At 34.4% G+C, this 28,000-nt stretch overlaps 1 protein-coding gene and 1 long non-coding RNA gene across 30 annotated transcripts in view; both read right to left on the bottom strand.

Moving 5' to 3' along the window:
- Nucleotides 1-28,000, bottom strand: part of ROBO2 (roundabout guidance receptor 2) — a 1,743,290-nt gene that overhangs the window by 1,292,534 nt on the left and 422,756 nt on the right. The window lies entirely within an intron of this gene.
- On the bottom strand, nt 9-27,991 carry LOC124900544 (uncharacterized). The gene is made up of 2 exons (XR_007095965.1): nt 6,465-27,991; nt 9-5,218 (listed from the first exon to the last, which is right to left on the bottom strand). It is a non-coding gene; the product is annotated as an uncharacterized LOC124900544 (long non-coding RNA).

The following is a 28,000-nucleotide window of genomic DNA, read 5'->3' as shown; positions in this document are numbered from 1 at the left end:
GTCTTTTCTTTACATTTTTGAGGTTCATCGATATTGTTGCATGTTCCAGTAACTCACTTCTTTTGTATTGCTGAGTAGTATTTGATTGTATGAGGACAGCAGTTTGTTCATTTATCCTGCCTTTGTGTTCATGTGTGCTCAGTGTTTTACTCCTGCTTATAGGTGAGAACATGCAGTATTTGGTTTTCTGTTCCTGCATTAATTCACTCAGGATAATGGCCTCCAGCTGCATCCATGTTGCTGCAAAGGACATGATTTCATTTTTTTTAAACAGCTGTGTAGTATTCCATGGTATTTTAACAATATTGTCTCTTCAAACACATGACTATTTATTTAGGTCTCTTTTTGTTTCAGAATTCTTTCATTTCTCTGCCTTTTTTTAAATAGTTCTCAGTGTACAAGTCTTAGATATCATGTTGAAATTTATTCTTAGGAATTTGAGGTTGTAAATACTATTTTAAACTAAAAATAAAAATATAACAAGGAAGCCATGTGACTTTTAATTTAATACTCACATTTAGATAGATTCTGTATGTTTCAATTTCTTGAAATTTATCAACACATTTTATGAGTAGGAATATCATCTATCTTGGTCAACGTTTTCTACGATCTTGAAAAAATATACTTTCTGCAGTTGCATAGTGGGGTATTAAATAAAAGTCAATAAAGTCTAGACCATTTGCTTTTTTTGTCTATTTGTTCTATAAAATACAAAAACGGTATGTGAAACTCTCCAATTATGACGGTAGATATGTCCATTTTTTCCTTTTTTTCTGTCAATTTTTGGCTTTGTGAAGTTGAAGTTCTGTTATCAGGTAAAAATATGCTTAGCATCGTTATATTTTTTTGGTAACCTGACCCTTATATAATTGTTAAGTCTCAATCTGGTAATAGATATTCTGCTTGAAGTATTCATATACCTGCAACAGCTTTCTTATACTTTTGTATGATATAGCTTTCTCTACCCTTACTTTCTCCTCTGTATATATTTATAGTTGAATTCATTACCTATACATACTACATACCTGGATCTTGCTTTTTATTCAACCTGGCTTTTTTTTCTTAATTCTATCCCTGTTTAGCATAATTATTGATATAATTGTATTTAGCTGTATTACTTTATTTTATTCTATTGATTCCATCTGTTTTTTGCTCACTTGTTTCTCTTTTCCTGTTATCTTTTGCATGACTCAAGTGCTTTGTAGTATTCCATTAGACCTCTTCCATTTCTATTTTAGCTATAATCTCTTGTGTCATGTTTATGTATTGTTCTCAAAAGCAATATATAACCAAATTAAATATTCAGATGAAACATGTATATTTATAAATTGAAAAGTAAATATTTCTTTAAATATCATTATTATACATTATAAACAATAGTTTATTTCAAGTATTCTGTTTCATTTCTCTGTTTTCTTGAGGCCTTCTATTCTACTTCTCCATATGCTATAAACCACCCAACACATTGTATCTCCCCATCACTTCCATCAGGCTGCTGCTGTAAGGGGTGAATCAATCTAAAGTATAGTTGTACTCCAAGTGTGCTTTGTTGTAGCTTTAATAGATTCAATTCAATAATTCCAAAAGCCAAAGTAAACCTCTGAATAATGTTTTCTGCACGGGATATCCTTAAAATCACCAAAAAAATCGTAGCTCCCAAATTCATCTAAATATTACCTAATGACTGGGGAAAGTGCCAATGCTAGATACTTTCTTTATATGGATGTATCTGTCATCTATTTTAAGAATTTTTTATTTATCCAGTCATCTCAGATTGCTATGCAGGTGTTGTCAGTGAAGTAACATGATTCCAATTTCAGTGTTAGATATACTTATTATCCGTGAATTTTAAGGAATAAGTGAATATATAGGTTAGAATATTTGCAGAATGTAACAGTTAAGAACCATGAGCTCATAGCTCAACCAGTTGCCATCCAATTCTCATCCTGATATTCACAATTTGATTTCAGAATACTTCCTTCACACCTTCCAAGTCTCAGCTTCCTCAGCCAAAACTGAAGATTATTGTTACCTTTTTCACAGCATTAGTTTTCTAAATAAATGATATGTAGATGAAATAATAATAATAGAATTATTGCTAAACTCTTAGCTATTGTCAGGCACTGTTAACCTACATACAATTTCCTAATGTTAACTAATTTAATTCTCACTATTACCTATTGATAACAAACAGAAGATACATTATCTGCCACATGGTCAAAACCAAAAAATTGTAATCAATTATCATTTTAATACTGATTAAAATGTGTGGCGGTTTGCTTAAAATAAGACAGAAACTAAGTCGCTTCTTACCTAAGGAGTGAATATAATAGCATCACTTGCAAACACAAACACCCCCATGCATACATACACACACACACACACATACACATACACATACACATAAACATACACATACACACATATCCAGATATATGCATGGAACTTTCAAATGCTTAACAAAATATTTCACTGGGTCCTAACAGTTCTGTGAAATAGGAAAATTGGATTTATAAAACTTATTTTTAAAATGAATAAATGGAGAAACATCTTAGTTTAGTAATTTACAAAAAATCTCATAAAAAGTCCATGGCAGGTATGATACATGTAAACAGACATCTGTGCTGAGGCTTCTCTTTTCCTCTACTTATACCCAGCAGTTTTTCCTATATGAAAGAAGTGACTTTTCCTTCATAATTTTTTCATTACGTTTCCCAAAACCTCTCTAAAAATATCACTTGCCTAGAATGTGTGACAGTGATTTGTGACACCGAAAATTCATCACCTTCAGATGATTTTTTTCACTTGATATTAGAATGGAAATTAGGGTTTAATATATTACTGGTTTTATATATAACTTCCCACAAACAAAGCAGTAATAAATTATTGTACAGGCATAATAAGCAAGTGAGGGCTCTAAGTAATCATAAATAGTAATGACTATCTTCACTATTAGCATTTTAATAATAATTTATAAAAACATAATGAAGTCCTAATCAATCAAAAGCACACCATCAAAAGAGATTTATTTTGTTAAGGACTTACTCTATCTAAAGTAGAAGTTATTCTTTCAAACCTTGTGAAAGTGTTCCCCAAATGTTCTCCTTAATTTAGGAAAAGGTTATACGAATGTATGTATTGAAATCCAGAGTTGTGGCACTTTCTTCTTACTAAGAACAGAAAAAGAAACAGCTGGAATTCAAAACATTTAAAAGCATATTTTAACATATATGAACTGCTCAGTTTTTGTCAAGTATTTTAATAGTTGTGTATTTGAAAATTAGTTATCTTGTAAAATGAAGCTACTGAATTTTTGAATGCCTTGAATTGGGAGTATGCTTTGCATTACGATTTAAAATGCTTCGTCTATGTTGAGTTTTAAAACAACTAGGGAAACAGATGTCAGACATCTAATGTTGCTATTCTCAATCAGAGATCATTTTTAGTTAACTGTTCTTCGTCTCCGACTGTAATAAATTTGCTTTCACATGCATTTCTGGTCACAAGAATTGCAGCCCCTAAAAACGTGAAGCAAGCTGAGATTTGCAAATGCCCCAGACGTTGTTATGCAAAGAAAGTCTCTGTCTCGCCTAAAAGAAAGAATTTAGGTGTTAATTAGAAGTGCGTTTAGAGAGTTCTCTAAGTTCTAAGAAAATATATTTTCTTAAAAGAACTCCTCCTGAACCCATCCAATAAACACAATGTGATGTTCTCAAAGAACAGGTTGCGAAGGTTGTAGTGTCTCAAAGACTATGGTCTTTGCCTTGTATTTCCATGTTTGAGAAAAACATTTCTGAACAAAAAGGAAGGTATAGACTTCTTCATTTTCTGCTAACACCTATTGATGTCTGCCTAAATTTTAACTTAGGTGAACCAAACAGGCCCAATGAGTATGAGAAATGTTAGGCAACAAAGCAGATGTGGCTGAATGTGCAATGTAGTTCATTAAATTCTGCACATGAACTCAATAAGACTTTTATATAGATGAAGCACAACTACCTCTACCCCACAGACTAGAGAAATGGGATATTAATTTTTAAGTATTATTTCTTGAATTCTCTCAAGTTTCTCCTTCGTTATTAAAGTTATATTTGCCAACTTATGATTAGCACTTAAAATACTGTTCTTATGCCTACACAAAACCATATTGTACCATAAAGCATGACATAAAACTCTCTCGCTCATTCTCTTCATGAGAATTTAGTTATTGAAATGGCTAAAAAGATCATATCAGGACAGACCTGCCTCTGTCATCTGCGTGAAACAGGGATCCAAAGCAGTATTTCATCTTTCCATTGCATTTTCCATTTTAACCTTGTTTGCATTTATGTGCATTTGCATTAATCCATGTGTACAATGCAAAGTCCGACGAATCATCACTATGCTGACGGTGACTGCTAAGTTAGAATTGTATTTTGGGAGAGGAAACGCCAGGCTGTTCTTGAATTAAAATCTTGATTAATATTTAACAAGTTGTTCTACACCTTCTTCCTGCAACCTCTTGTCAAAAGCCACGTGTGCCTTGCTATTTTCAGAGTGAATTTGTAACAATGGGGTAATCTAATTGTTAGTTATTTTGTTATAGCCATCTGTGGTAGGCCAATTAGTGAGCAGCCTGGAATTCAGTTGAAGCACTTTCCAGACACAGTTTATTTATAACTTGATATTTATGGGGAACTCTAATAAAACTCTGTCTCATAAAGGACCAAAGTTGCTGGTTCTGCAATCCACAGGAGACTGCACATAAAGGCCGCTTCATCAATCATTCATGAACACAAGAGTAACACCCAAGTTTTCGGGACCATTTTTTTGTCCTTAGTCATTTTAGTGAGGTAATAGTCACAAATACTATACTAAAGAAACCAGTTCAACTCATTTTCATTCAAATCTGCCTAGGGAATTAAACATCAGGCTGGAGTATTTTATAAGTAGCTCCACATAATTATTCTAGCTATAAAAATGTTTTCAAATCATTTGAACAAAATTTTGATCTAATCTGAAGCTGGGACTTTACTCCACAATGAAACAAAAGAATGAAACAAATTGAGAGCAAGCAAGAAGAGGAAGCAGGGTTGTGGAGGAAAACCAGTAGGAACGAGGGGATGTGCCTGACTTGCCTCACTCCAACTAGTCATAGCCACTTTGTCAACTTGAGGAAGTAGTTTTTTCCCAGTGTGGGTGCTCAGCCATTTCTTTAATTCTGCAGACACTGGCCAGGCTATAAATAGAGATCATGAGATTAGTACACATTTGTAAGACTACCTCTTCTCAACTTGGGGAGGGAATTAGTCTACAGGGAATGAAGTACTTCTGCTTACTAGGTTGACAACACTTCATCCACATAAGTTCTGTATAACCATTACCATTGAGCTATTGTGTAATTTAAAAAGACACTCATAAGAATGTGTTAGAACTAACTTATATCTGATTATTAATATGATATTTTGATGAAATATGATAGTTATGACATTGTAAAGTTATTAACATTAATTGAACAGCGGCTATGTCCCAAACACTTTGATTACATTTTCTGATTTTACCTTCACAACAATACTATAGGGTTGCTAGCATATCCCTCTTTTATAAATGAAGAAACTGAGAGCATTGTAGGTTAAGTAATTTACTCAAAGTCACATAGTTAATAGTAGGTAGATGTGGAAATTAAACCCAGGTCATCTCTTCCTAAAATGTAAATTAAAGAAAAACTCATATATTTACATGTATGTGAGGTTATACATACATACATTTATAAGAACAAGGCAAACAATAAAGACATAATATGGAAACATAAGCCTCATGAAATATTGATGTTCTCAGTTGAAACACTCATTAACCAAAATATTATACTGTAGAGGCAGGAAATGGGGAAAATTCTATCAGAATCCCTGTGGAGTTGAAAAAATATATATTCAGATTAGGATTCAGGACCCCTATTCTAAGTGTGGTAAATCACAATATCCAATGGACAAACCCAATACTTTTATTTTTAGAGTTTCTCTAGTGATTCTGATGTTCTGTTAGGTTTGACAGCTGTTTGCCCCAAAAGTCTCAAAGGTCTACTAGTTTCCATAACTCTTACATTACTTTTAACATAGACAATTATTATTTACCAGCACCATAAAAAAAGTAAGAATTCAGGGCTGTTGCTATTAGTATTGTGCTTTTTAATATTACTCTCCTTTTTCTTTTCATATGACTTAGGGATGTATTACATGATTACTATTCAGCCACATGTGATGTTGGCATAATGATAAACTTTCTGTGGTTCAATTTTTTTACCTATAAAAGAGAGATCATACTACATATATCATTATTTTATTGAGAGGGTTGAGGAAAATTCACTTGAACATGATGTTTAGTAAAAATTAACTTAAAAACATATCTAGTAAAACATAAAGGCTAATGCAATTATAAGCAGTTATGACTACCAATTCATAATAAAATACTGAAATTAAAATATATACCAATTTCACTCATTTTTCCAAGACAGATGCTTATGTGTCCCGATTGTCTTTTTCCAGGATCCTTTTATGAGCAGACTAGGAATGTTAACTTCTTCTGATAACAGATAATCAGTGTTTGTCTTCATGAAAAAATGTCTATAAAAACTAAACAGAAAAAGGAGATGGCAAATTCTATTTAGTGTTTCTACTTGTTTCATGTAAGTCTTTACTGATTTCTCTTTGGCTGTAGACAGTAAGTCTTTTAAAAATTTTTCAATACTTTAAGAAAATTTTATATATAAGATTAAAAATAAGCTCCCATTAAAGTAATTAATGCTTTCAGACTTCTGTGGTATCTCTCAGTCTCCAAGTCATTAATGATTATATTAAATATCATATTTTTAACATTGGTATTTATATTGAACATTATTGAATAGCAAGAGAAAGTCACTTCAAATTCATAAAGCTAGTTAAAACTCAGCACATTTGGTATAAGTCTTGTTATAAAATATCATGTAGGTTATAATGGAAATAAACTTTCTCAACCAGAGAAAATGGCAATTACAACTGAAGATATATTTCAAAGTGCTAAGCCTGGATCTGCACTAAGGAGAATGTGATATTCTCTCTGGGTTGAAAAGATGAAGAAAAGCAAGTGGAGACATATCAGTTATGGAAAACAGATGTAAATGTTCTAACATGTTTATGACACAAAGCAAAGCAATTATCTCCTATTGCATAAGTGTACTGTGAGTAGAAAAAACAAAAAATGAAAAATCCCAAGAAGAAAAGTTTAAATCCTAAATTCATTCCCAAGTGTGTCACTAATTCTAACATTTTCATGACTTTGCCATTGATAATGGGGTGTACAAAGCTTTATTGGGAGACAGTCCTTAATACTCTCTCATTTCTGCTTGTTTGTGAGCAAAGGTACTGATGGTATTTGTTTCAAACTATCTTTTGAAGAAGTTTGTATAGTGAACAGCCTTGGAAAACAGAAATAGTCTCTCCCTCTGGAGCAAAGGGCAGGTTTGCTCATAGCCTTTGAAGCTAAAGATACTGTCTCCCTCTGGAGCAATGGGCGGGCATGCTTATTGTCCAGTGTAAGCATGGAATTCCTCTTCTGTAGCGCAATCCACCATATATGCAGGTGTCATCTGAATCTTTCCATGTGTTCCTGCGGAAATTGGGGCCCAAAAACACTGACACAAGAAAAATGATGATGGCCCTGCTACTACTATTGCTGTGAGTAATAACTGTCCTTTGTTTCTGACTTAAGAGTCTCATGCCTTCTGCCAGCATCCGTTACACTGTGGCAGGCTAACTTGTTAGCTTGCAAGTAACGTGAAATCTCAGACCCTTTCCAGTTCTTGGCACATTTTCCAGGTAAATGCAACTTGATATCTTAAGCACACACAAAAATAAATCTGAAGCTCACACTTCTGAAATCAGATTTTCTAAGTGTAAATTCAGACTTTGTCAACAAATAACTGTGTGGCCTTGAAAATGTCTCTCCAGGACTCAGTTTCATAGTCAGTAAGATGGGGGTAATGGTGTTCTTCTTGTGTCTTAGGATTGCTGTGATAAGCTAAATGAGTATATGTAAAGTACTTCAAATAGTCTCTCAGATTTCATAGATGTTTAATTAATGCCTGCTATTAGTATTATTTATTACAAAATTGGGAGATAGGAGTATATAAAACAAACTATAATTTGCCATCAATTATATATGCTATCATTTTAGTGCTTTTTTGTTTTGATATTTATTTTCACAATTATAAACAAATCAGGAAGTACTTTTAAAAAAATCTTTTAAAAATATGTTACATAGGCTTTCTTTAGGCTCAATTGATCAAAAGGAATAGACACTTATGCAGAGTTTAAATCCTTGCTCTGCCCCTTACAAATGGAACAGAGATCTTAAACAGTAAGATTACCAGAAGGCCCCTAGGAACTAGAAATTTGATTAAAGTTGCCATGTATAACTGGTTTATTGAAGAAAATCAATTCCTTGGGGTATAAATACACAACCGTGACTTAAGCTGCTTTAAATATGGTATAATAAATTCCCCTTTCCACTCCTTGATGGCATTTCACCAGCCTCCATAACTTTTTGAACATGTTCAATAATAACACTGTCCAATGATATAGCTAATTCAGTCTTCACTGTCCATCCTTCAGGGCAATTTAGATTTGTGGTTAGACGGCCTTGGCTGAAAAGAACAGTTGAGCTTTGCCAAACCTTCTCTGTGGATAAATTCCTCCAGTGCTGAAAGGAGGAAGGGGAGATGGAGAAGCAGATATAGCACATAATTGGTTGTACCTCGATGTGGGATGTGACCTTAGTCTCTAATTTAGTATAATTTTTCATGGCACTAATGGGCTACCCACAGGTTGTGCCATGATGTTCTTGGGGGTAATTTTAACTTTTACCCTTGCTTTTGCTGATGCCAAGGGCTGCCTTCAGGAGAAGTAGCCTAATTCTTCTTAAATGTTTCCATTAGTAGAGGTCTTCACTTGTTTCTGTGTGGCGACGCTGAGGTCATGCCAATTTCTGCACTTTAACCTATATCTTTGGAATGGTAATTCATAGGTCAGTGTTTCCCTATTTAAGGCAAATGAAGAGCAATTTTCCAAAAACAGTATTTGCCCCACCTCCACTTTACCAGAGCATCTCCAGTCAGGAAGATTGCCTCTCCCAACAATTACTTGCCTCCCCAGAAGATGCAACCCAATCTTTGTTCTTCCCCAGACTTCTTATGAAGACTGATACTGACTGTGGGAGACTGTGGAATGATGGCGGACAGTGCTTGGGCGGATGATGCTGAAGACTGATACTGACTGTGTGTGAGACAGTGGAATGATGGCGGACAGTGCTTGGGCGGACGATGCTGAAGACTGATACTGACTGTGTGAGACTGTGGAATGATGGCGGATAGTGCTTGGGCAGACGATGCAAGTGTTTGAAGCCTCAAAGGTAGCAGTTTTCAGCATATGGGTAACTGACGGATTTTTAGCTTTAGACTTCATCCGTCATTCTTGAATAGTTGAAAGTCCAATCCAACATCCTCATTCAATTGTATCACATTAACAATATAATAAATACTATTTTAAACATTAGATTGCTTAATATATAGTATGATGTTTGGGGCCACTTGTGGAAAAATACAAATTCACAACAGACACTGCAAAGTAATTTACTAATGTTATTTTCCAGGTATTTCTCACAATCAAAGACCCATTTCTCTGTTGCCTTTTTGTGCTTGGTTGTAATTACACAGAATCAGGGGAGAGTGAAATATGACCACCCCTTTTGTCTTTCTGGGTTGCTGAATCATCTTTGTTTCAAAAGCACAACTCTAAAAAGTATAAGATTATAAATAAGTTAAACAGAACAAAATCACACTTAGTGCCTCAGATTAGAGCAGCAGCTTTGACCAGAACAGGCAAATTTCAAGCAAATAATTCATCTCCTCTGAATTATTACATCATATTTATAAAGCTATTTTGAATTTGCAACACTTAAATATATACCTTCTGTTATTAGAAAGTGAGAATTCACACCTAAAAATGCACACACACTAACATCATCACACACAATTTTGACAGAAATTTTCTAAACTGTTTAAACTCAATATAAATAAAATCAATAATTCTGTTCCTTAAAGTAAAAATGTTCTCATTACAGTTTTTTGGCTGTTTGTTCTTTTGTACCTAAGGCATTAACTAATAAATCCTCAGGTCAAAGCAGGAGAATCTATGCCTTGGGGTTTAGGACAGAGTAGGTGATATGAAGGTGGATACAGTAAAAAGTGTTTATCAGAATATAAATTGATACTCTGCTAGTGTGTCTTCCAGTAATTTTACTCAAAACAAATCTAATTCCCAGCAAGGACTGCTAAACGTAAAGAGACATAATCCATTTTTTTTTTATTTTGTCTGAATGGTATTTCTCCTTAGGTGTTCAGCCACAAAAGCTATGAACCTTTGGCTCCAATGTAGGCATAACCTTCTTCAAGCTGTGCTTATATCTATCAGACTGCATCATCTTCACATTAGGGAGTATATCATTATGCTTTTATTCTCAATTGATGCAAAGTGGCCCTGTTATAACAGGAGGCCACACAGGGAGCATACAGAGTAATTTATTTTGCTTTCATGTTGTCACTCAGTGAGTATATCAGGCAAAGTTTTGCTGAAGAGATGGGAGAAAGCTCATATTTTTTAGATCCCTTAGAAGGATGTAAAATGTAGGCTAAATTCTCATAATATGATTGACTGGAAAACGTTATCGACAAATCTCAATGGAGAAAACATGAATGAATGAATGTGTGTCTGTGAAACATGAAATGGTTGCTAAGTCATCTAGTGGCTCTGGACAATAAAATATGTATTTTTAATAGACATTGCCCACATTTCTAACTGCTATATTATGCAACTGTAGACTACATGCCATCAGACATGATTTTGAAGGCCAAAAGAGTAATATTTAATGGAACCAAAACCAGAAAGTAATTTAAAAGTCAAAAACTCCCACCCTGAAAATAGTCTTGACCTCAGTTTTCAAAAGTGAATACAGGGAATATGTTAGACTTACCGTCAATGCTTTCTAAGGAAGAGGTGTAGCCTACATTTGTTGTTGTTGTTGCCAGGCGGAGCTTGCAGTAAGCCAAGATCACGCCACTGCACTCCAGCCTGGGCAACAGAGCGAGACTCTGTCTCAAAAAAAAAAAAAAAATTCTCTTAATGGACTATAAAAAACTGTTAGTACTAGTAACTTGGAGAGCTAACATTCCTTTCCTCAGAGATTATTAAATTCTTAAAGAAAAATAAAGAAACAAAGACAGCCTTCTTTAGTGGTCCCAAGAGGGAAGCTTCCAGAAGGACAAGGCTGATCTTTAGTGCTTTCCCTTTTGTGTGATCAAAGCCGGAGCTAACTGGCCTGTAAGGACAAAGCCTGATCCATTTTAGAACCCCCATAGAGCCTGCCTTCTGGAGCAGGGTGAGTAGATTAAAGAGAAACCGAGATCAGTTGGGAATAAAAAATGACTGTCTAAAGGAGCACTTTTACATTTAAAATAATAAAATACCTGACAATACAAACTTGGAGTTTGGTACGCTTTAGGTAATAACAAATAAAACTGAATCACAAAGAGTTACAGAAAATTAAATATATGAAAGGAAATTTCATAAATAAAACTTTCAGCAATTCAATAATTTATATTAAACAGGAGGACTGAAAACCTCATCTTTATGTTCTGTGATGGTCTCTTAGGCTCAAGAAATTATTTTGGGGTTTTAATATCAGGACAATTTTTCAGTACCTGAAAATTCATTTCTCCTACAAAACTAGGAAGGCTCAAATTTATTTTACTCTTTAGATATATTTTATGGTTAAAAAAATCAGGGAAAACATTTCATCAGATCACAGCTAGGGAACCCAAGGAAAATTTCAGTGCCAAAAATAGTTTTGTTATAATTCAACCAGGAATAATAGTTTTCTTGTTGAAAATATTTCCCCTGTGCTTAAAAAAAAAAAAAAAAAAGAAAGAAAAGAAAAAAGATATCCTGCCTACTCTTGAAACACACCTGCACATGTTTATACACATTCTCACACATCTCACATTCATACTCACCTATTTTGAAAAGTCTAGTTACAAAGAGCGACAGAAAAAAAAGTGTGCAAATAAAAGACCTGCTTTCCCTGGACCTCACAGAGGCCTTTCCCATGACTTGGGTCTCCAGAGATTCACCCAGGAGTTTTGTTCCTGCTGCAGTTTCTGTCTTGGCCTTATATTCATATGGACACCTCCTCCCCGACACACCTCCTTGTATCCTAAGTTCTTTTCTTTTTTCTCTCCAAAACCTTGCTTATTATCTCTCTGACTTCTGTCATATTCAAAATTTAAACCATCATCACAAAAGGCAGTGGCGCTCAGGAGTTAAGAGCATGCCATCTTCACAGTTATACAGATCTGAACTGAAATCCAGGTCTAGAAATAACTGAATAGTACTTCTCAAGTTATTTAACTTCATAAAAGAGCAATTTCTTATACAGATAAATACTTACTGCTTTAGGGTTAATGAGGATTAAGTATAATAAGGTGTATTAAACACCCTGGATGGAAACTAAAATATACATTTTGTCCACAGTCACTGTTATTATCACATCTAGATATTTCCCAAATTCTTGACTTTACTCTGGTTTTTCTCTCAGCACATATTTAACTGTATAATGGGCATTTTAACCCAGATCGACCTATTCAAAACAGAACATATAATTTCCTAAACCAAATCCACTAGATTAATTTCTGTCTTTAGGCTTAAACCTGTAAGACATTTGTTCCTCTTCTTTTTATCCATCATTTCTGCTATTTCATTAGTGACCAAGTAATAGAGCCTTTTCTGAAATAGGTCCACGTTTCACATAGACTACTACAAATAACTCCTATCCCGACTTCTGAGTTTTGGAGTTCCTTGACTTTTAATCTTTGAAAATATAGCTTAAAGAACATTCCCTTGATCAAAGAGTTCTGATGACCAAAATAACTAGTAGATTTGAAAAAAGTAGAATTTCACCAATACCTTTAAAGTCTTCATGAAATTTTTTCTCATACTTTAAGCAGACAGAATCATGTCATCAGTTATCTGAAGATATGCATATCACACTTTTGTATAGTTGTGTTAATAAATATTTGCAAAATTAGGTTGCATTGTAAAAACCTGAAGTGTAAATACCCTTGAATAGCAAAACGTAATCCAGGCTATCAGTCTATCAATTTTTAACAGACTCTTTTCTTACATTCAATTGTTTTAACTCAAACAAATAAATTATCTTCCAACATGATTATTATAAAAGATTAAGTAGAAATTATTTTTTTAAAGTTTAAGAATTTACTGTCATAATAGCTTAAACTTAATAGAATTCATTGACATACTTTTATACAAAGAGAAAAGAAGAGCTGGAAAGGAATGGGGAAAAACAGCCCCACTTTAAAGATAGATTCAAGGTATATCAAAATGCTTTTAGTACAAACCAAATTTACTCAGGTTTATAAAATCTTTGGACACATCAAGATCAAAATAGAAGTAATGAATCAGATTTTGCATTCTGATTTACTAGAATAAGTGGCACCAAATTAAATCCTCACCAAATATCTTTGGAGGCTACAAGGGCTGTCTCATTTGTGCTCAAAAAATAAATTCATTTCTGCAGATTTTCTACTATACTGCTGGGCACAGCAGTTTCCTCATGGTTGCATTCGACTTCTAAGGCCAAAATCTCACCACACCAATACTGCATGATACCATTTCCTGATTTATGTCTTGCTTTGTCACTTAAACACCTCTCTAACAATAAACATGCCAATATTTATATTAGGTTGGTGCAAACGTAATTGCGGTTTTTACCATTAGTTTCAATGGCAAAAACCGCAGTTACGTTTGCACTAACCTGAGAGCATTTCTCTCTTTCCCTCTGATTTATAGGTTATATTCGATAAGTTCTCATGTGCAAAACTTCATTCTAGAAGGACTTCATTCCTCAGATAAATCACCTTATGCAGATAGACACCTGTGTGTTACCAGTCATTCATTTATTAGACATATATTGAATTCCACACTAAACTCAGCTAGGAAAATCATGCTACAGATGAAGACATCAGGAATTTTTATCACTTAGGGCAAACAAAAATGGAAGAATTATGCTTACAACACAGTATATAGGTTGTTTTCACTTTGGTTCTTCTTGGATAGAGAGTACTAATAGAGATTATTTGGTCTGTGAGAGTTTTATTCAATAAATATACCACACCATACGTAGAGGTTTGTAATATTAGCTGAATTCCACCTTGAACAATTCACAAGTTAGATTTCTGAACTAGAGAAGAGTTTCTGGTAATTGAATAGAAATTATATTTACCGAGAAAGACCTATGTGTTCTTGTCTTTGGAACATTTGATTACCATTCAATAAAATTTGAATCACAACTATCAACATTTATAATGCAAACAAGCTACTTACATGTTATAACTATATAATAATCAATTTTAATGAAATTGCATCATTCTGTAGTTACATAAAATTGGCCATTCAAACAACTGTGTCACTAATAGAAATGATGATTTCATTCAGTTTTTTTCCCTATAAACAGTGGGTATAGATTTTAATTAATCTATCTATACCTACTATTAAGTGGGCCTCTAATATAAATCTGTACATGTACCAGATATATTTTGAAAATACAGTAGTCCAATGACAATAATTCTGTAAAAAATTCCCTACCATACTCTAGTGATTTTTTTCTCTGTCTTGCTAGCATGGCTAGCATATAATTGCCCTTTGTTATAGGATATATTTGTAAGGATATATACAGGTTGAACAGCCTTGGAAGATAGAGATAGTGTATCCATCCAGAGCAAAAGGTAGATTTGCTTATAGCCGATTTCCTCCCAGAGCTAAGAGCAGGCATGCTTACTACCATTCATAAAAAAGTTGGGTTCCCTACACTCATAGTTCTCCTGAAGTGGCACCCACTCTGTGCAGTCATTCATCTGGGCTCATCTGTGTTGCTTCTATAAGACTTGGGTTCAAGGGGGATTGAAACACTCAGGCATGTGTATGTTGATGATGTTTGCTGTGCTGGGAGTAACAAAGATCTATGTCTCTCACCTGAGAGTCACGTGTCTTCTCTGAGGATCCATGAAATCATGACAGGCTTACTTGTTAGTTTGCAAGATGGGTAAAATCTAAGACTCTTCATAGTTCATGAAAGTTTTGGAGATGAGTTGGGATGGTAACAGAGACAGAGCCTGTTAAAGGAATTGTGAGGATCTCACAGGCAGAATCACAAGATTTGAGGGAAGTTCATGGGGACCAACAGTCAACATGTTGACCTAATTAGATTGTCTACCAGGAAAGAAACAATCCTCTACTTTATTGTCTGTAAACACTGTTTCATAACATTGTGGAATATTTTCAAAGACAGCTTTCCAAATTTTATACCAAAGTATTGTTTTATGTTATACGCCCCTAACTATAAGTGGATAGGAAATTGTTATTCACCTGGATAATTGGAAAAAGAGGAAACATATGCTAGAAGTCTCCACCATAGTGAAAGATTCATTCAGAAAATACTCTTACAAAATATAGTGCTACATCATCTGTTGCAAGTGTTCACTTTTTTTACGTCCCATTTTAAACATGGCAGCTAATAGTTATTTTTTAAGCCATTTTCCTTTTGCTCTTAAGCATCCAACACAACTATGTTTCCCAGCTTCCTTTTTGGTTAGGTATGTCAAAGTGACTGATTCTGACCAACAGAATATTGGAAAAAGTACAGACACAATCTGCAGGGCTATGGAAATTTCCAGTGAATTTCCCAAGCATTTTCTCTCTTCTCAAATCAGTTGGCCTAATGTAAATGATCCAGTTGAACAGTCCACAGCACAAGGGAAAATATCAACACATCTTTTTTTTTTTTTTGTAAAGAGATAGTAAATATTATACATTTGCAAGACACGTAATTCTTCAAACACATATTTTTCCTTTTTTTTTTTTTTTTTTTTTTACGCTTTAAAAAAGCGAAAAGCATTCTTAGTTCTGGGGCCATACGAAACAAGCTGTGGGCTGGATTGGACCCGTAGTAGGGGACAGCAGAGGCATTAGAGAAAAGGAACCTGTATCACTGCAGGAAAGAGACCAAGGAACCTGTATCGCTGCAGGAAAGAGACCTTTAGAAGGTGATGTGAGCAGGTAAGTCTCTGAGATTTGAAGTTTTGTGTTTATTCTTTTTTTCCTTACAGTAGTTAGTCTAATATTGTTATGGTAGCATTTCTGACAAGTTAAATCTGATAACAAATTTCCTCATATATCACAAATAATTTGTTTAATTGAAGGGGAAAATGAACTAATATTACACTGATTCTGACCTTTAGAAAATATAGCTGTACCAGCTGAAGAACAGGTAATGATCTTTAAGGAGACAGAACACTCCTACAAGATTCACAAAACAAATGAGATAAATTCATTACATTTTTGCCTTTATTTTACTGTCAGTTCCCAAATGGCAGACTTATCCTGAAGAATTTTTATTAAGATATTTCCGCATGCTAATTACTAACATATTATAATTCTTGTGGCAGAATATAAGAACTCTGATGGTTACTTTCTTAGTGCTTGGAACATGAGCAATGCATTTTTTTAGAACTAAAAAAAGTTCATTTTATTTGCAGCATTGACATCTTATTTATCCATCAGCTAAAGGTAAGAATCATTTTCAATGAATGACAACTTGCCGGGCTCTCCCAACCATTAAACAAATGCCCTTCCAAAAATGGGAAGCTATATAATATTTTAAAATCATAATATGCTTTGTGACCTAGAATGTGATTTCTGCAAAAGTTAAATGCTTATAAAATGTTGAGATACACCATTAGCTTTAAATCACATATGCTGTAAAGCAGTATAAATCCATTCAGGGCTTCAGTACTGTAGACTTCACATTACTTATATTTTTATACTCATATTATTCTGGTTAGAAATATATCAGTTAGAGTGATAGACTGGCATCCAGGATTGGCTAAAATATTATGCCCAAGACAAACAAGCTTTCTTGAACATGGTCAAGGAGGTGAAATGTTGGATACTGTTCTATCCCACAAGGTTAAGGTAACTTGGAAGATAAATGAAATTGACTGAAGGCTGAGGGAGACCAAAAGGACAGCTTGCCAGCATGAATTTTTTTGTTAGAATAATATGCAATTGCTTTTAACTCATCTTTGTATTTTTCAAGTGTTCCTGCTCTACTAGTAAAATCACAGTCAGTGTTGTGCAATTAACTAGCTTCTTATTACGTAATTATATTTTGATATATAATCTTAATTTTCTAAGTTTTTTTTTTTTGCAATTGGTTCATTTTTGTTAGGATTTGTAGCTAGTAGTTTATGCAATAGACTTTGGTGGTACCAGGGGAATTTTGGTGGTATTAAATAGTCGATGATTATAGTAAAGATGAATTAATAGCTCTATGCTAAACTTTGAAAAATTCCCCCAGATTATATGTAGTAAGACAGGCACTTATGGAAGAATTACACATATATATGTTAATATTTGTGTTACAGACACAAACATTACAAGATTTTAATTTCCTACAAATTAATAAACTTGGAGATATAAACATATGAATTATTGTAACGATTAATAACAATATACACCCAAATAAGGAAATGTGATAAGCCCCAAATCAAACTCATATTCAAAGTGGTGCTGCACACAGCATGCGTTTACTATACTCTTGGTGTCTGTGAGTGATCTGGAATTGCTGTTCAAATAAAAATGACGCAGATTCCAATTTGCTAAGGAGAATAATCATGATGAGTAAACTTAACATGCATACCATATGGAAGAGGAAATTAACACATAGAGGGCAGGTGTCTCGCCCATGTTCAGAGTTCTTGAAAGAGAAAGATAAACTCCCAGGTCAATCTTTTGTCCTCATAACATAATCTCATATGCCACTGTCCAAAACAGGTGACATATCTAGAAACAGTATATGGTTTCCAATATATCTTATTGCTATATATACCTTATTGCTTTATATTATTTATATTCCACTAAAGCATGCGTTTCAAAATCTGAATGCATTTTGTGGGTAAAATGAAACCTTGCAGCAAATATTTGAGACACAACATCTAAATCTAATCTATTGCCTAGGAAGCTGTATTTACAAGTACACACAATCAGGTGCATCAGTGTTTACTCTTCACTTTTTTATCAAATACAATATTTTGAAAATATGCCATTCAGATCATAAAAATCCAGAAAAGCTCTAAAAAGGCAAACTGAAGTGAAATATTTAGATAAGTTTAAAGGACATATAAAATGTCATAAATAGAAGTGTTTTACATTTAAAAATATCATTGATGGACTAAGAAATATCAAGTAGTAATAACACATTGAAATGCAAAATTTGCTTTTAGACATTTATTTGCACAGTTAGATTTTACAAAACTTCAACAGTTTTTCAGATTTAAGTCATGAAGGCATCCTTAAGACATTCAAAAGCTCTAACATCAAAAGCTCTGTTTTGATCAGTTTGTCTTGGAATCTTTCTAAAATATTTTCTTAAATTTGATTTCATTCATCCAGATTTTAGAAAGACACAGTGGTTCAACTTCATTGTCAATTTCATTATGTTTATTAATCAAATATATAACAAAATAAATTTGATTAATAAAAATAATTATACATAATTTCTATATAATATTAATTTATAATTAATAAGCATTATATATATAATTTTTAAAAAAGAAGCATGATCTTGCTCTGTCACTCTCCCAGGCTGGGGCATACTGGGGCAATCATAGCTCAATGTAACCTCAAACTCCTGGGCTCAAATGATCCTTCCTGCTGACCAGCCTCCCAAGTAGATAGTACTACAGGCATGCACCACTATGTCTGGCTAATTTTTTTTTTTAAGAGTCAGTGTATTCTTATGACGCCCAGGCTGGTCTTGAATTTGTGACCTTAAGCAAACCTCTCACCTTGACCTCCCTAAATGCTGGGATATCAGGTATGAGCCTGAAAATCTATTTTTAGTCATCAAATTGCTATATGACTAACCAAAGTAAGTGTGATCACTTAAGTGAGCAAGTAAAAGAAGGAACTTGGAGATAAAGTTAAAACTTCAACGTACCTTATTGCAGGGGTATAGAAAGATATTCAGGTCAGCTTGGTAGAAACATGTGAGAAGGGGAAAGAGACAAGAACTCACACTCCATTTGATCCAGTGGGTATGTAAAGTTGGGTATGTAAAGTTTACTAATAGGCTGAGAAGGAAACTAAATTCCTTATAGCTATGTACTTAAAGTCTCAAATACATGTACTAGAAGCTATTAGGCACTTTTTCCCCCTATGTCAAATATTTCTCTTGAGGTACCATGAAATGAATTGTAACCATCATCACAGTGTGGGAGGGAAAGCCAGAGTATGTAATCACAGAACAACAAGTTCAGTCTTCTGCTAATATTAAAGTTCTATTTCTAGTTTTACCACGGGGGTTTCAATAATAAATCAAAAATAAATCTCCTATGGTGGAGCCCAAAACCTCATCAATTTTATTACTTTTGAACGTTGGGTTTTATTAACAATAGAATTATACATAATGACAATAGACAACTATTGAGGTGAATAAGGCAAGTTCAAATCCCAATTTCATTCTTGCTGTATACGTAATAAACAATTGAATTGAAACTACTCAGAATATCATTGCGCATAAAGAAATAAGTATCAGATTTTCTTTCACACCTCTATTCTTCAGTTCCTTTATTGCTAGTTCTCTTTTTCATTTTGTTCCCTGACTCCTTTCTCTTCTTCCATGTCATAATTATGATGGCTATGACTTACTAGGTAAGTGATATGTGTTGAGGCTTTTCCTAGTTCTGGGGAAATTTTACAAAATAGATACAATCCTGTAATGGCCAAGCAAGCCGTAACCAAATAAGAGAAAATAAAATGGTTTTGTTAGCAAAGGTAAATTTTCTGTCAGCACTGAAAGGAAATATTAATTCCTATCTATTAACTCTTTTCACTTTAATCTTCAACCCATGTATTTTACCTAAGTGGACCTAACAATTGAGTTAAAGATAATACCAATAGTGTTTACGTATTATTACAGCAGGGGAGAGTTTTTAGTATTTTCTAGTGTATACAGAGCTGTTATTTTCTATGTCACTTGAGTTTCTGCTGCTCATCTCACTGATAATTTGCAGTGGGCCAAGGGAGCTTTGATTAGGGAAGATGAACAATTTTGGCCATGAAAATGACAAATGTTTAATAATGAAAGATCAACTTTTACAGCTTGAAAATCAGACAGGATCCCACTAGAAGGAAAAATGTGTCTCTGTTGCTCAGTTTTTAAATGGATAACTGTAATCAAACTTGCTGGACACAATTTTATCTTTTTTTCTCTACAAAGCCCCAGAAAATAGAGATTGTGGGTTTTTTTTAAATACCCAATAACATTTTTCAGAATCTATTTTAAAAATTCATAACTGCAAACATTAATTTTGGGAATTAGAATCATATTTTACCTAATTGACAATTAAATATATACTTAAAGTAGTTCATAAAACAAAATCTTATTAGATATCCAGCTTCCTGTTAAATGCTCTTACGAAAAAATCTTTCGAATGTATTTATATGATATATTTATAGATGGATAATGTATTTATGTTTTTATATGATGATTATTTTAAAATAAATTAGCCATTAACTCTCAAAATGGCCTAAAATAAACAATGCCACAGACCAGAGGATGACTTAAATGTTACGTCATTCTTTGAGCTTTTCACAAATCAAGTAATTAATGAAGTATTTAGTGAATATTTGAAAGCATATAATTTAAAGAAAGTAGCAGAAACATTGTGAATTAGGCCACTGCAGTATTCTTCAAAAGGAAATTTAATCATGCCTCAAATTTAGTGGTTTCCCAAGATAATCTCCATAAAAGGGACATTGTTGGAATGAGAAACTTGACTAGGCATAGCAGAGACTGCCATTTATCCACCACTACCCATTTTCTTATTCCTTTATAGTGATAACATTTAGCTGGGCACAGAATCACCTCAAAAAGAAGCTGTGTTTCCCTACTTCCCTTACTAGAGTAGCATGACTAAGTCTTATAGAAAATGAATGAAACCGTTATGCATAATTTCTGCAGTAAGCCATTGGCAAAGTGATTTTCTTTTCCTTTTTTTCTTCTTGCTACGTACATACAGTGATCTCAAGTTATCATGGACCATTTTGGAACCAGGTCAATGAGAACAAGATTTTAGGTCACTGTATATCAATAACACAGAAAGAGCCTATGACAGCTTCAAGAATACAGGCAAATGCTAGTTCAATCTTTTTCATGAGAGAAATACGTATCTATTTATTTAAGCCACTACTTTTGGTGTCTTGCTTACACACAAGTAGTCTTCTAGCTAACAATCTGAATATAACCTATGTTTACATGGTAAGCTATCTGAGTATTCAAGAGAAAAATATTTAAGTAAATTGTAATGTCCCCATAAAATGGAGCAGAATGCAGTCATTAAAAGTTATGGCTTTAGGCCGGGCGCGGTGGCTCACACCTGTAATCCCAACACTTTGGGAGGACGAGGCGGGCGGATCACAAGGTCAGGAGATCGAGACCATCCTGGCTAACACGGTGAAACCCTGTCTCTACTAAAAATACAAAAAATTAGCTGGGCGTGGTGGCGGCGCCTGTAGTCCCAGCTGCTCGGGAGGCTGAGGCAGGAGAATGGCGTGAACCCGGGAGGTGGAGCTTGCAGTGAGCCGAGATCGCGCCCCTGCACTCCAGCCTGGGCGACAGAGCGAGACTCCGTCTCAAAAAAAAAAAAAGTTATGGCTTTGATGATGATGGGAATATATTTTTTATAATTAAAATGAAAACCAGCATGTAAATTAATTTTATATCATTTCAAATATAAAAATACACAGAAGGCTGGGTGTGGTGGCTCACTCCTGTAATCCCAGCACTTTGGGAGGCCAAGGTGGGCAGATCACTTGAGGTCAGGAGTTCAAGACCAGCCTGGCCAACATGGTAAAACCCCGTCTCTAACCAAAAATACAAAAATTAACCAGGCGTGGTGGCACACACCTGTAATCCCAGCTACTTGGGAGGCTGAGGCAGGAGAATTGCTTGGACCCAGGAGTGGAGGTTGCCGTGAGCAGAGATCGCGCCACTGCACTCCAGCCTGGGCACCAGAGAGACTCTGTCTCAAAAAAAAAAAAAAAAAAAAAAACAAAACAGAAAAGTTTGGATGTGGTGGCTCATGCCTGCAATCCCAGAACTTTTGGAGGTAGAGTTGAGAGTACTTGAGTCCAGGAGTTTGAGACTAGCTTGGGCAACATTTCAAGACCCTGTCTCTACAAAAACAAAAAAAATTTTTTTTTAAAGCAAAGTCACAGAAAAAAAATAGATGAAAAAAAGCATTTGAAGTATCAACAGTATTTTTTATGTTCTTGTTTAAGATTAAATGTTCAAAATAAATCCCAAGGAGTAATAATCAAATTATTTTCAGAATTAGAAATATTAGCCTTTTAAAATTATAGTGTGCCTCTTCCTCAGGTAACTCCTTTCTTTACTAAATCATTAATTTTTCTAATAGTCCCAAAGGATTACCAGGTCTGCTTCTCTACCTTGAGAATCAGTGAGCTGTCTAAATGCTATACTTAACACATTCTGTTTAGTTCAATGATCCTATAGTTAGGAGAAACACCGACACTTAGATGTCCACTGATAGTTCTCCTTTACTGGGTAAAATTCTTGTGTTGATCTCCATTGGGCACGGATTGATACATTCTTCCTGTTATGCCTATGTGACTCTTGCTCCCGCTTCCCTTTCAATCTCTTAAAAAAAGAAAAGCCAAGCTGCTTGTAGATCACTAGAAAAATGGCATTCTACTGTCCTCTCAATGCCCTAACATTTAGTGTTTTCTTCAACTTGAGATGTCTTTCTCTCACTGGGTGCTCAGTTTAAATGCTTCCTCCCCTGTAAAATCCAAGCAGATTTCTCTAAGTACACTCATATTCATTAATTTGTTCAACAAATATACATTCACCAACTTCTACATCCCAAGCATTTCTGGAGGTGGGGGATGCTGTGATAAATACGCAAGACCAGCTCCTTTCTCTCTAACACATAAATACTAGTGAAAAAAACAATAAAAAATGATTAAACAAGATAACTGATGTAAAATAGTTTTCAGGCAATGATAATAATGATGATATGGGTGGTGAAGCTAGGCTTCTTTTATATGTATATATATATATTTTTTTATTATACTTTAAGTTCTAGGGTACATGTGCACAACGTGCAGGTTTGTTACATACGTATACATGTGCCATGCTGGTGTGCTGCACCAATTAACTCATCATTTACATTAGGTATATCTCCTAATGCTATCCCTTCCTGCTCCCCTCACCCCACAAGAGGCCCCAGTGTGTGATGTTCCCCATCCCGTGTCCAAGGGTTCCCATTGTTCAATTCCCACCTATGAGTAAGAACATGCGGTGCTTGGTTTTTTGTCCTTGCGATAGTTTGCTGAGAATGATGGTTTCCAGCTTCATCCATGTCCCTACAAAGGACATGAACCATCATTTTTAGTATGTTTATTGCGGCACTACTCACAATAGCAAAGACTTGGAACCAACCCAAATGTCCAACAATGACAGACTGGATTAAGAAAATGTGGCACATATACACCATGGAATACTATGAAGCTAGGCTTCTTTTGCTTGCGTGGTTAGTGGAGAAGAATTCCTTTTTGAGGGAGAAACTTTTGACTAAAACCTGAAGAACAAAAGTGCCATTCTGGTTGAATGCTTTTTATAAACAACTCTTTATAGCAATCATTGAGGCTCCTTAAGATCAGCAACCACATCTTTTTATTAAGAAATTTCCATCAAGTAGAGCAATTATCTGATGAGTATTAGATTATCAAGGATTATCTGGAATATGTCATACATAACTATGTATTTTTTCTTAATTTACTGAGAGCTAGACAAATGGAAATGCAAGACATATTGCTCAGCTCATCTATTCAGTGAGAATCATGACTTTACGCTGCGTACACTTGCAGAAGGGAAAGAGAGTCAAGAATCACTGCACAGCTAATATGTACTGGACACTGTCTTAGGCATTTTAGATACATTATCTCAATGATCACAACAACCTTCTCGGGCAGGTAGCATGATTTTTCCAATTTACGAACTTCAAGACACAGCTTTTAGAGAGGTTATGTAAGCTATCCAAGGTCACAGGGCTGTTATGTGGTAACGCCATGATTTTAAATGACACTCTTCTGACACTGAAGACCAGTTTACATATACTAGGCGTTCTCAAGGTGTGGCTCCAGGGCCTGCAGCAACAGCATTACCTGCAAACTTGTTACAGAAGCAAATTCTTGGGTGTCACCCCAGACCTACTGAATCAAAACCGCTAGGAAGGGGGGTTCATCAATTTGTTTTAACAAGTCCTCTAAGTAATTTGAATGTGCACTGAAGGTGAAAAATTGTTGTGTTATATAACAAAAAACACACACAATTCCCTACATGGCTCATAACTTTATTCTATTACATAACTTACTTTGATATCCAGTGTAAAGTTTTATTGTGTTAATTATGGATGAATCATCTGGAATGCACTAAATATATTTTGAAGGAAAAAAAAATTATTTTTATGTGGCCACAGAGGTGGAAAGTATTAAATTACTCTCTTTGGCTAGAGGGTAAAGATTTTCCTGTCAATTTCCATTTGAAGTTCAAATTAATGTGAAATGGTTTCAGAAATGTGTAAACAGCTTTCACCTATCAAGATTATATTGTCTATGAAGAAAGAAAATTAAGAATATATTTCTTAGGTTTTATGCAGAGATAAATCCCAGAGGGACTAAATGGAAAATATGATTAACTTGAATCTACGAGTTTGAAACTGTAAGATGGAAAACACATTTAAAATTTTTAATAATGTTCCCTCAAACTTTTGCATCATTAGTCAAATAACAAAAATTTTTGACGAAATTATATTGACATTTTAAATGTTACTTTGCTGAAAATACATGAACATATGTGAAAGGGTACTAAATTTGGCCCTAAAACACCTTGCTTCACATACACAACTTGAAGAAAACATAAAGCAAATTGGTGTTATACAATATTATTCACAGGCTCTTTTTCTAACTGAAACCATGATCCCTCTTCCCATAACTTTTGATACAGGACAAAGGAAACATTTGTCTCAAAATGTCTCCAATCATGGAAACACAAAAGTGACTTCTAGCCTTGCCATTCACAATGGAAATGTATTCAAAATATACAATCTATGATTCCTATTTTTTATTTTTGTAGTCATTAATATAATCTCAAATGTTTTCCTGGTTCAGGTAATACACACATGACAACAAATCTTCTATTAGTTTAAATAATCCATATATTAGGGCGGGCGCAGTGGCTCACTCCTGTAATCCCAGCATTTTGGGAGGTCGAGCTGGGCGGATCACCTGAGGTCAGGAGTTCGAGAACAGCCTGACCGATATAGTGAAACTCCGTCTCTACTAAAAATACAAAAACTAGCCAGGCGTAGTGGTGGGCGCCTGTAGTCCCAGCTACTTGGGAGGCTGAGACAGGAGAATTGCTTGAACCTGGGTGGCAGAAGTTGCAGTGAGTTGAGATCGTGAACTCCAGGCCTGGGCGACAGAGTGAGATTACGTCTCGAAAAAAAAAAAAAAATTCAAATATTACTTAAAATAGAACAATAACAAATATTAATGTTTCCCTAAATTTGGGATTTCAGAAGGAGCTGTGATGTAGACTGCAAAGATGCCCGGATATTACTGAGCATTGGCCATGGGTTGAGAATGTCAAATTATGTCGTTAAAACCAAACAGAGGAATCTAGAGGCATAAAGGAAATAAGAGCCAAATAGAGTGAAAGACACTGAGAAAGAAAATGAAACGAATGAAGATTAGATTTAATGGGAATGAGAACAGGTTACATATAAAAAAAGAAGCTTGTAATTAAAAGGCAGTTTCAGACGATAAACTGGAATTGTTATATATAAAAAATAAGTTATTCCTAATTGCTGGAAGCAAGGTGTGCCTCATGTGATATTTATGAATGCTAAATATCTTAAAATTGCCCTTTATTTTAATGATTTTGCCAACACCCCATACTATAAAAATATACAATTGTTTGTATTTAGAAACAGAAAAAAAGTTACAAAACTACATTCTAACTTTAATCTTAGAAAACTTGCTTAATATTTACTTTGTTATTGAATTCTTGGTACATTACCGCCATGGGCTCAAAACACTTATTAAAAAATCTATATCTTAGTTATTCCATTCGAAGTGGTAGAAAAGCTTCAAAATGATAAATCCTGTTGAAGGCAACTATAAACAACATTTGATTCATATATATACTAAAACTTGTTATAAGTAATGAATGATTTAGATAGAGCACATTTAGCACTGTCTAGCAATGAACATTTCTTATGGGAATACCACAGCAGATGAGGCTGTGCTAGGTAGTAAACCATCAATCAGACGTGACCCCACAACAAATGTTCCTCATCAACTGCTTTAATATGTCATGAAGCTTCCAAATAGACATCACTGGACCATTTATTAAGCCCAAACTACTTTTTCACTGACAAAGCAAAAGACATTTGGTATTTTCATTTATATGTAATATCACAACAAATCGATGAGACCTAGGAATCCAAAATAGAATTTATATGAGGATGGGCCATTGAAATTCAAACCTTAGTTTCTTGCACAAATTGCTCTTAATGATGATCTTTTATTTTATTTTTTAACCAATGTTATAAGAATGAGGATTGCATTTAGATTCTAAAACTTTAAAATGTCCATATAAAACATGTTTCTGTTGAAGCAGAATGGGGGAAAAATTCCTTACCACTTACATTTCTGTTATAAAACTAAGTATTATGTCATTCTCATATAACACTGCAAGAAGAGCAAAAATAAAAATAGTGTATTTGAAAGCTCTAATACTCATGCAGGCATGATAATTACACTATCAAAAATGCTATTTAATGGTGCAAAAAAGACTTATTTCCAAAAATATCATAATGTAGACTAGGCTTCTGAAATCAAAGAATACCATTTAATCCTTCTGCCACTTTGATTAGTTATGAGTTTAGTTTATCCCTGCAATTAATTGGGTGTATCTCTATCTCCCCTGCTAATCTGCATAATTTTGTTTTACTTTATGTTCCTTTTTAGACTGCAAGGTGCTTGAGTATATAGAAAACCTACTTTATTTGGTTTCTGCCTCATGGTGCCTCATGTATAATACTTATGTGCTATTTTATAATCACCTTTCAAATATGGCCTTTGAAAACCCACATAGATACAGTAAAATGTTCACACAAATATTTAAGTACTATGTTTTCACACTCCTGTATTCAGATATATTACACATTTTGCATTATGAATCAAATTCCTGAAAACCAGCTTCTCTTGCCTTTGAAAACGCTCCTGAAGTTCAAAGACGACTAAGTATCAAGGCTTCTTTAAGAAATGCATCACTGCTCCCGGAAAAAGCAAATAAAAGGGCCTTTGAAGAGAATTCTGAAAGAATGTCTCCAAAGTGGGTCTTTCCTCCGACTCTGGAATACATGTTTAACTTGAAGAAATTTACTTCAAAATTTGTGTTAAAAATGTCTATTATTTTTTAGAAAACAGTCTACCATGAATCTGATTCCTTGCATATTCTTGCTGAGCGTGCCAAAACGCAAAGCAGAAGTATCCTTTGACTCTGAACTGTTACTGCACCAGGTCAGACAGTCAAGTGGACAGGTGAAGATAACTAACTTACAGCTACTCATTCCCCAGCGGAAGGAAATTCTAAGTATCCCGTTTGCTGTACAAGATTCTGAGGACGGATGCCGTGGCTCAGGCCTGTTATCCCAGCACTTTGAGAGGCCCAGGCGGGCGGATCACTTGAGGTCAGGAGTTGGAGACCA

The sequence above is a fragment of the Homo sapiens genome, chromosome 3 (genome assembly GCF_000001405.40).
Source record: "Homo sapiens chromosome 3, GRCh38.p14 Primary Assembly".
NCBI classification, from domain to species: domain Eukaryota; kingdom Metazoa; phylum Chordata; class Mammalia; order Primates; family Hominidae; genus Homo; species Homo sapiens.
The sequence above is the reverse complement of the archived record's forward strand: the minus strand, read 5'-3'. Positions and strand labels throughout refer to the sequence as shown.